Raw genomic sequence first — 10,342 nt, 5'->3', positions numbered from 1 at the left:
TCCAGTAGCATATGATGCTGCTTACAGGAAAAGGGAACTGAAAAAAATAAGACATTCAAAGGCCAGTTCGGGAGTGAGGTATTCTTCTCTCCCATAATCCTGATGTCAGAGTTAATATCTTCCCCATATGGGAATCTGGTTCCTGTGCATAACTCCCCAGGGAGTTGCTTCCCAGAAACTATGTAAGTATGTGTGTACCTTTGATGCCTCAAGTCTTCCAGATATGCACTGTGTGCCAGCAGCTGCTGTCTGCCCTCCCCGACCACACTTATATGGCAAAATAGTCCAGCAAACAATGAGCAGGAGCAAGCTCTGACCCCCTCCGTGAAGGCAGCACACAGAACCAGTTCGTGCCAGGAATATCTTCTCTGCCGTGATCCCCCTTTAAAATTACATCTTCCCTTTAAGTGCAAACAAGAACCTAGACTTCCAGAAAGTCATCTTGATACTCCCAGGATACTTATAATCTGGAATCTTTAGAAGGTACTTGGCACTCACTGCTTGCTCTGTAGGATTTTTGTGTTCTAACACCCCAGTTAGTCTTCTAAGGCCTCAGAGGGCAAGGTTCATGCCCTATTCTGCCTCAGTCCCCCACCCCTGCTATACAATACCCCATTCTTAGTAGGTAGGCAATAATTAGGTCAAAAGGCCTCAGAAAGTTTATTATATTATAACAGGAGGACACGTGCTTCTTTAAAAGCATTTTTTGAGAGCCTACTCTATCACCGGCATTGTGCTAATGACCCATGTGATCTAGAAGCAGAAATTTAGAAAATCAAATATGAGCCTTTTGGGCATTCTGCAGCAGGTAAATAACAAATCAAAATTGGTATCTAGAAGTGAAGCATCCTTGGTCAGATTAAGAGGCCTTCATGACAGGTACATTTGAGGCAAGCACTGTAAGGTTACAATCTCTATCAGCTGTCAGATGTTTAGAAAGACCCTAAATAGGGTATTGAGATCCTAATTCTTGATTTTACTTTCTCCTAGAAATTGTCTGAGTGATGATTTTAGCTGGGCTTATCAGTCAGGAAAGGATGGGTCTTGCTGTCCTTAATTTCAAATCAGTCTTCTTGTAGTAGGCAAATTTCTCTACCTTTCTTTTAATTTGTCACCATTTCACCTCAAATTATCCCTAAAGGCCATGACCTTTGGAAATACCTTTGAATGTTCAAAATCAGCTGATCCAGCCACAGATAAACCTGGTCATAATCAATGGGTAATCAATATCATATTACCCATAATTTTATCTTCACTCATTCTTCACATCGTAAATCCTTGATCCAAATACAATACTATTATATAAAACTATTTCTTCAACATACCAACAACAAGAATGAAACAGCTCCTGTAAATAATTACCTCTGGGATATGAAAGAAAATGTAAACATTTTATTTGGCAGTTGTTTCTGTACACATGAATAAATAAATGGAAAAGTACATATTAATATTTCTTTTTGGAGTAACAGATACCATTAAACGCTTATTTACACATCTTCACTGCAAAGAACAGTTACACAATTAAATTTTGTCTTATAAAAGGTAACTTCCCACATCACTGGACTGGACAGTTAAGGATGGAGATACTGGTAGTGCTTGGTTCTAGCAGTCTCAATGTTTGAAAGGCATTCATTTGCAAGTGTGATAAGAAGAGTCATCATGCATTGAGTTCATCCGGGTCATGTACTGTAGAAAATTTCTGATGGCAGCCACAGAATTTGGTGTCTCATGCGCTTAAGTCAACTATGACATGTTTGTAAATCTGTGTATTTCCCTTAAAACTGGAAGCAAAAAGAAAATTACGCTTATTAATGGACACATGTGTGAATGATCTTGGTGCCTGAACATTTAATTCCTGAAATTTCACAAATTTGGCTTTCTCTGCATCCCAGTTATACACTTGAGTAAAGGAGTAATCACTTCCAAGAATTGCATATTGGTAATTATTTATTTGAAGAGGCTGGAACACCATGGATCCTCGCGATGGCATCCTCTGAATATCCTGGAACGAGGAGCCTCCCCATTTCATGACTTTGGAATCACCAATGAATCTTGTCAAGCAAATGTACACGTCCCCTTTCACTGAGAAGTGCTTCACTGCGTACACATCCTCCATGTTAGGAATGTCAGTTTGGTTAGTGAATAATTGTGTTGCTTTGTTCCACTGATAAATTACAGGACGCTGGGAACTACTAGACAGAATTAAATGAGGCGTTCTGAGTGTCTGAGGTGTTCTGACTATTTCTAGATATTCCACATCAGTGTCCCTGTACCACGCGTGTAAGGATTGATGGGAGTAGAATCCGTTTCCGTTCCATTTGTAAATGGTAGTAAAACCAGCTTTTGAACTGTCAGCAACAACAAAGTACCAGTTGTTTTCAATCTTGAATGTTTCAATGTCATTGGGTTTTCGGATTTTGAGAATTTCAATATCCTGGATTTTTATGAATTTATTTGCAAAACTGTCTCGCTTATAGATGTGAGAGCCACCAAACAGCTGGGCCACAATAACATAGAGCTGAGTTTCAATGACTATAGGCTTGCATACTACAGTGGATGTGCCTGGGAAAAGACAAAGGAGAGATTAGTTGTGTGGCCATCCTCTTTTGGAGCATGTAAACATGCGGGCTGGGGCCATACAACTTCCACCCAAATCAGCCTGAAACAAGAGATCTCCTTGGTTGATTAGGCAAGGCTGGTCTCCAAAGCCCAATGGCAGCAGTGTCCTAAAGTTCCGTGCCTTTGTGCCTCGTGGGGCCTTGTTGCCAACAATTGAGTTGTTAATGTCATATCTAGCCTGCGCTAGACGTTCAGGACACACAGCTATGGCCCGAGTGTTCTCCTCTTACTTCTTGCAGAAAGAAAGCATTAGTTTCCCTGACACAAATGAGTTAATCATAATTCTAATGAAAACTACTGTTTACTGAGCATCTATTATGTGCTTTCTCAATTTACCTCATTAATTTTCCCAACAATCTTAAGAGATAAATATTATCCTTTTTCCACATGAGTAAACTGAAGCTCAGAGAGGCTGTTCTGGTAGCAGAAGGCAGAGTTGGGGATTCAAAGCCAGGCCTACCAGCATCTCTATGCTTTTAACCCAAGCTGGGGACAAGTTAGCTATTCCAGGACTTCAAATTTGGTTTATCTAAGATCTTAGATAACCAAAGGCTAGCGTTGTGGTCTGGGTAGCCCATGGCTCTACTGTAATTGTTTTGCTCTAAGTCTGAACTGCTTCCTGCTCTAGAATAATTTGCCTTTCCCCTGCAAAGAAAGGAGATGCCACTTGTCACTTTTCTGGAGCTTTAGGTCACTGGTGGCAGGAGTGAAGAGAAGGAAAAGGAATCTTTAAAAAAATCGAAAGAAGGGTGCAGCCATGGGCACTGCTCCTGAAAGTTATTTTGGAAAATCACAGAAAATGATGTGGGATCTGTCAGTGGCCTAGCTTGGTATCCTTTGGGGAAGAGTTTGACATTTATCAGTAGATTCTGATCTTGCAGGAGTTTGGCTCTAGAAAATCCAGAGACAGCTGAACAAATCTGGGCTTTAGGCCTCTTCTGACTACAGCGCTAGTGCGGGGCAGAAAGTTCTACATTAATTCTTTCTACTAATTGGCTTCATCCATAGGCAAAATAGTTTTATTTCTGACTCTTTTCAGGGCTAAACTGATTGTATGATCTTAAGAAAATCATTTAACTTCTCTGAGGCTCAGTTTTCTTTTCTGTACAATGAGACTTTAGACTAGATTAAGGATGGCCACCAGATTCCAACACATGTACCAATACTGATTGGCTCATTGCGTGTGATTGTCTGGGGAACTGTGTTGAGAAGGATTCTGTGGCCGTGTCTGCACTCTACATGAAAGATTCCCATGATAGATTAGTGGTGCCTGTCTAGAGTGAAGGAAGGGATAATGACTGAGTATGGGGCATATATTTGTCATCTGCTATGGTTGGAATGTTTCTGTCCCTCCAAAATTTATGTTGTAGCTTAATCCCCAGTGTAATAGTATTAAGAAGTGGGGTGTCTAGGAGGTGATTAGATCATGAGGACTCCACACTCATGAATGGAATTTGTGCCCTTGCAAAAGGGCTTGAGCGAGTCTGTTAGATCTTTTTTTGCCCTTCTGCCATGTTAGGACACAGAGAAGGCACCGTCTTTGAAGCAGAGAGTGAGCCCTCACCAGACCCTAAATCTCCTGGTGCCTTGATCATGGAGTTCCCAGCCTCCAGAACTATGAGAAATAAATTTCTGTTCTTATAAATTACGCAGTCAAGGTATTTTTTGTTACAGCAGCAGGAAGGGACTAAGACATCATCCTAGACAAGATGAGCTCTGAGATGCCCTCAGAAAGTTTGCAGATGTATGATTTATTTCTCTTGTAAGTGCTCATCTAAAGAGTCATTCAAAGAAATTGATGAACCATACACAAGTAAGAAAAGCCTGGTTTCGACCGCACAAAACCCTGCTATAGTCCACTGGAAAACTTATGGGGGCCTAAGGAAGCATGACCTTCTTCCTTCAGAGAGGAGGATTCTAAAAGAAAGGAGGATTCCAAAAGGGTCTCAGTTTGGAAGGGATCCCTTTATTTAAGCAACCCCAGCCTCAAGCAAGCCCCAGACCTGTCTTGGTCCTTTGAGCAATGAGGGTGATGGCTACCAGCAAAATCTATCATGACCCTCCATGCCTTGTCTAAAGGGTTACCTTTTATGGGGAGGTGTGAGTGCTCTTGAGAGCAGATTTAAAGGTATTAGAAGCTAAAACTGATATTAAAAATTGTAGAGGGAGCCCTATGTTCTAACTTATGACTTATAATTTTAAAAATTATTAAAATGGGAAAGAAACTTAAGAGATCAGCTAAGTAAGCCCAGGCAAGGTGGTTTACTCTTGTAATCCCAGAACTTTGGGAGGCCAAGGCGGGTGGATCACTTGAGGCCAGGAATTCGAAACCAGCCTGACCAACTTGGTGAAACCCCATCTCTACTAAAAATACAAAAAATTATTAGGGCGTGGTGGCACATGCCTGTAGTCCCAGCTACTTGGGAGGCTGAAGGACAAGAATCGCTTGAACCCAGGAGGCTGAGGTTGCATTGACCCCAGATCACGCCACTGCACTCCAGCCTGGGTAACAGAGCAAGACTCCATCTCAAAAAAAAAAAAAAAAAAAGAGAGATCCAGATAAGTAAAAGTTTTCATAGAAAGAATTAGATTCCGGCCGGGTGCGGTGGCTCACGCTTGTAATGGCAGCACTTTGAGAGGCCAAGGTGGGCGGATCATGAGGTCAGGAGTTCAATACCAGCTTTGCCAATATGGTGAAACCCTGTCTGTACTAAAAATACAAAAATTAGCTGGACATGGTGGCACGCACCTGTAGTCCCAGCTGCTTGGGAGGCTGAGGCAGAAGAATTGCTTGAACCCGGGAGTTGGAGGTTGCAGTGAGCTGAGATTGTGCCACTGCACTCCAGCCTGGGTGACAGAGCGAGACTCTGTCTCAAAAAAAAAAAAAAAAAGAAAAAAAAAGAAAAAAGAAAAGAAAAGAAAGAATTAAATTCCATGGCCAAATTAAGGGTGAAAAATATTGGAAAAATTTCCTCACTGCAGGACTTCTCAGATCCACAGATGTCTGTATTATGAACCTACAAGACCAAGATATGGTTCATGAATTTATTGGACCACAAAATCCTTTTCATTACAAGGCATACATTAACATTTTGTAGAAGACACGTTTGTGTAACAAATTTGAGACTTATTGATCTAAAATAACCTTCTTATTTTATAGTTAAGAAAAAGGGGTTGAGGGGTGTCAGTGAGTATGAGCAGCTTGCCCAAATAGACTGTGGCAGAACCTGGACTAGAACTCATGATTCACCATCCAATACTTTTATTTGAAGAAAAATAATCAAATATTTACTGTTTATGTATTATACTAGACCCTATGCTAAGTTTCTTGAATATGTGTTCACATGATCTTATTAACAACCTTGTGAGTTAAGTATTAATATTATTCCCGTTTTACAAGTGGGGAAATTATGGCTTAGAGAACAATCCCAGGTCACTTAACAAATGGTAGAGTTGGAATTCAAATGCTAAAGCATTCCCCTATACCACTCATCTTTCCTTGTTGCCCTTGGCTGAAGCAGTTTAAATTACCACTCAAAATATCATTAGGCTTTTCATACCTGTAATGTTGTCATAATTCCGGAAGGTCTTTTCCACATGGTCCCATTCAAGGAAAATGCATTTTCCAGTAAAAGGCTGAGCGATGACTACATACTCATCATTCAAATAAGAAAAAGTGTCTATGGACAATGATTGATAAGGCAGGTCTTGAGACTTTGCAAATTCTGCAAAAATAGGAAATAATAAGTAACTGTGAGCTAATACCTCTTTCCTTGGCTAGATCTTAAATATTCACAAGAAATACATTTATTTCAGAGAATAGTAAAATGGCCATTTTACTTTTAAACACATGAAGCATTGTCAATGGTTCATAATTTTTTTAAAATTAAGTTGCTCAGCTAGTTTTTAAGATATAAAAAATATCAGTTCCTGCACATGAAAAAAAAAGGTAGCCCTTATTTTAATTTTTTGAGGTGGAATGATGATGAGTACATTACCTGTAATGATGCAATCAAAATCCTTCGAGGAGAGACTATTGATTTTGCGCTTCTTGTATTCTGGGGGGCCTTCGCAGTAGATGTCTTCAACAGTTGCATTGGTGTGGCCAAGCCATTCCACTAGCCATTTCAGTTTACAGTCACAATTAAATGAATTACCCCTCAGGTCCCTGAAAGACAAACTTCAGCTGCTTTTGCTGTACAAGGGCCCTACCCACGCAGGAAAGAGTTCTACATCAACAATTAACATGTGCAGAATGACCTTACCCGGCGTTGCATCCTGCCCTATAACCTGCCTGGAACCTGACTGACCACTCATTCACTTTGGGCTCAGAGAGTTAGCACCATGCACACTTGAAGACTACCCAGTCAATGGAACCTCATCACTTACTCCCTCTTGAATTCCAAAGCGGCTTAGTCTAGGGCTGTGCTGTCAATAGAAACAGTATATGAACCGTAATTGTAATTTAAAATTTTCTATAGCCACATTAAAAAAGTAAAAAGAAGCAGGTATAATTCATTTTAATAATATGTTTTATTTAACCCAATACATACAAAAGATTATCATTTTGACACATCATCAATATAAACATTATTGAGATATTTTACATTCCTTTTTTATACTAAGTCTTTGAAGTCCAGTGTGTATTTTATACCTACAATATATCTCAATTCAGATGCTAAATTTTACCAGAAATAGGTGATCTATATTTAGATGTCATAAAATTCATAATTGAAAAAAATAGGTGTATATACCCAAATTATTCCAAGCGTACTTAACATTTTCCAATAATTGAGCTGAGAATCAGCTTTTAAATTTAAATTTAACTGTTAAAAAATTAAGTAAAATTTAAAATTCAGTCTCTCAGTTGTACTAGGAGCACATTTTAGGTGCTCAGTGACCATAAGGTCTGGTGGCTACCCTATTGGACAGCACAGGTCTAAAGGACAGAATGTAGTGATTATTGTAATGTATTTAATCAAGTGAGCTATTTGCTTTTCTTCTTCCTCACAGACATAATTAATCCTGATCCTCTTCCGTGGTCTACAAATTCAGTTTAAATAGGAAATGACTTTGACACAGCAGAGTTAACACAGGCATACAATCGCTCATGCCTGTAATAAGTTATACAGCATAGACCATTTACATATCCACATATGACCCCAACTCACCAAGTTCTCTGTGTATTTGCATTGCTTCTGTTCAGGAATTCCACCTCCTTTCCTGGTCACACAGAATTCTTAAGATAGGTGCTGCCTACTCTTCACACCACACATAAATAATTTTTAAACGCCCAAACATTTAAAAATGTTTTTTAGAGGATACTTTCAAGAAAGCCAAGAAATCCACTAAAAGGCAAGTTGGCATGGATCCTTGTACTTCTAAGATAATTCTTGATTTGGGCATATTAGAGTAGGTCCAAAAGGCTAAACCCATCTTGGGATTCCCATGAGAGACTGAGCCAATTTCAATATTTTTTTGTTTTGTCTTTCACTAGTGTAGGGTATAGACTGACACAAAAATGGGGTAAAGGACCCCCAATGAGCTACATCCCACGTCACCCATGGAGTGTGTTCTAACTTCCAAGACACTCCCAGAACTGACCTAGTCTCCCAAGAGAACTCTGACCCACACTAATGAGTGGCAACCTTTCAGGCTACTGTAAACCAGAGAGGATAACTATGGTCTGTCCAGGACTCTCTTGGAAGAATCCTGATTTGGGCATTCTCCTGGAATTAAACCATATCATTCAGGAATTGAGGTAATAGACATGGAGGAGGGGCTGGGGAAATACTGCAAGGAACAAAGAAAGTTTTTCATTAGGCTACTGATTTGAAGTTAAATACTGGGCTTGGAAGAAAGTACTTGACTCAGATTTTCTTTTTGTTTGTTATTGGAGAAAAGTTGTTTTGAATATATATTCTACAGACAAGTACCTGAATAATTTTTTAAAAAAGCTTTTGTTTTCATATATCCTTTCATTTGTTCCTGTCTTCCACCTTATGACATTTAAATACCTTTCTAATGTTCTGGAAGGCAAATAATGAAGCTGAATTGCTTTTGAGAAGTTTAGGCATATATTACTTGCTTTGCTTACAGCAAAATATACAAATTCCTTGCAAAGATCTTTCACTCGGAGGCTTAAAAGTCAAAGTTTGAAAGCTCTTTTGTTTGAAAAAGGGTCAAAAATAATTAAGTTCATTCCCTTCCTGGGGCTTAAGCCAAATTCCTGGGGATTAAGCTTAGAGTTGTTGTTCAGTCTAATGAGAAAAAAGGCAAACTTTTCTCCCTTCCCCCACTTCCTGTTCCATTTCTCTGTTGATTGACCAACCCAAGGATGTAACCTTTCATCTTTATTCTGTCAGTTTCCCAGACTCCTTTATGTTTTTCCTTTGTAGCCCTATTTCCTGGACCTCATGAGAAAAAAGGGATTTTGAAATTTCTAGCCGGGTCTCTTCCCACCCCGTCAAAGTCCTTTATCATCGCTCCCTGCCGTATTGACACACACTTTGTCAAAGGAATGCCTGGGTGCCATGTATTCAGAATTCCCAATGATAAATACCATAGAAGACTCAAATGTTAGTCCATGTAAATTTAAATTTTTGGCCAGTTAAAATTTAGATTTAAAAATCCTAATTTTAATTTAAAAGCCAATTAAAAATTATAATAATCAATACCAGGCTTCCTTGTTAATGACTGCAAATTAATTAATTGTTCAGTGATTTCTTAGGTCCTCTTACACATTTGTTAAAGAATCCAGGCCTTTGAAAATATCTTTTGGGAGTGTCTGGAGATTGTTGTTTGCAAGGCTCCTGGAAAAAAAAAAAAAAAGGTGATGTAAACTGTAGTGATAAATTAAACAAAGGCATTTAATGATAAAGCTTAGTGATGAGTCTCTTTTGTCATTTCCAGCCTACTAAAAGACTTGTGGTCCTTTTTTTTTCTTCTGAACTACTACTCAGATTCCTGCTATTGTCCTTTCAGTTCCTAACCTGTTCACTTCAACACCCACTCCATATTTATTTACTTTTATTTCTTGAGACAAAAGTCTCGCTCTGTCACCCAGGCTGGAGTGAAGTGGTGTGACCTCAGCTCACTGAAACCTCTGCCTCCCGGGTTCAAGTGATTTTCCTGCCTTAGCCTGCCGTAGCTGGGATTACATGTGCCCGCCACCATACCCGGCTAATTGTTGTATTTTTAGTAGAGACAGGGTTTCACCATGTTGGCCAGGCTGGTCTTGAACTCCTGAGCTTCAGTGATCCACCCGCCTCGGCCTCCCAAAGTGCTGGGATTACAGGTGCACTCAATATTTAAACAACACTTTATGTTGGTTAAAAACAACAATGATTCCTGGGCATTGATCTTTCCATTTAGAACAGAACACGAGAGATTCACACTCTCAGACGCTCAATCTAGGGGATATCTCCCAAATGATGACTAACCAAACTGGTGAGTGTCCATCTCCAAAATGCGCCCCCTCCTCTTGCCTGGGCTGCCCCTTCTGCCTGCTTCCTCCTCGCTTGCTCCGGAGAGCAACCAAACCTCCAACCCACAGTGCCAGTAGCTCTATCTCTTCCCCAGTACATCCTTTCTCCTTTCTAAAGCCCACGCCTCCTTTTCCTTTCTAGCACCATTCATTCCACCTCAGAAAAAAGTTTTCTTATAAAAACCTATCCATCTATTCTCTTTAATCATCCCCCTCTTTCTCCTTCTTCTGGTTCTT

At 39.7% G+C, this 10,342-nt stretch overlaps 1 protein-coding gene across 6 annotated transcripts in view, besides 1 other annotated feature; it reads right to left on the bottom strand.

Annotated features, from left to right (window-relative positions):
• The window catches only part of LGI1 (leucine rich glioma inactivated 1), a 40,224-nt gene continuing 31,252 nt past the window's right edge, over positions 1,371–10,342 (bottom strand). For 2 of the 6 annotated variants that reach the window (NM_005097.4, NM_001308276.2), the window contains 4 exons: positions 9,360–9,431; positions 6,618–6,787; positions 6,180–6,344; positions 1,371–2,562 (listed from right to left, as the gene is read on the bottom strand). In NM_005097.4, coding sequence (NP_005088.1) covers positions 1,727–2,562; positions 6,180–6,344; positions 6,618–6,787; positions 9,360–9,431 — 1,243 coding nt within the window. In that variant the 3' untranslated portion in view covers positions 1,371–1,726. Of the gene's footprint in view, positions 5,637–6,179; positions 6,345–6,617; positions 6,788–9,296; positions 9,432–10,342 lie in introns of all 6 variants that reach the window. The other 4 variants (NM_001308275.2, XM_017016912.3, NR_131777.2 and 1 more) reach the window with 3 other exon arrangements.
• Positions 8,647–9,205: an enhancer, noted in NCBI's record as "OCT4-NANOG hESC enhancer chr10:95550082-95550640 (GRCh37/hg19 assembly coordinates)". NCBI's record gives its function as "activates a minimal SCP1, AML or CMV promoter by ChIP-STARR-seq in primed H9 embryonic stem cells {active_cell/tissue: H9 hESC(primed)}" and the evidence as "EXISTENCE:reporter gene assay evidence [ECO:0000049][PMID:30033119]".

This window comes from Homo sapiens, chromosome 10 (assembly GCF_000001405.40).
Source record: "Homo sapiens chromosome 10, GRCh38.p14 Primary Assembly".
NCBI classification, from domain to species: Eukaryota; Metazoa; Chordata; class Mammalia; order Primates; family Hominidae; genus Homo; species Homo sapiens.
Note: the sequence above shows the minus strand (reverse complement) of the source record. Positions and strands in the feature narration are given on the sequence as shown.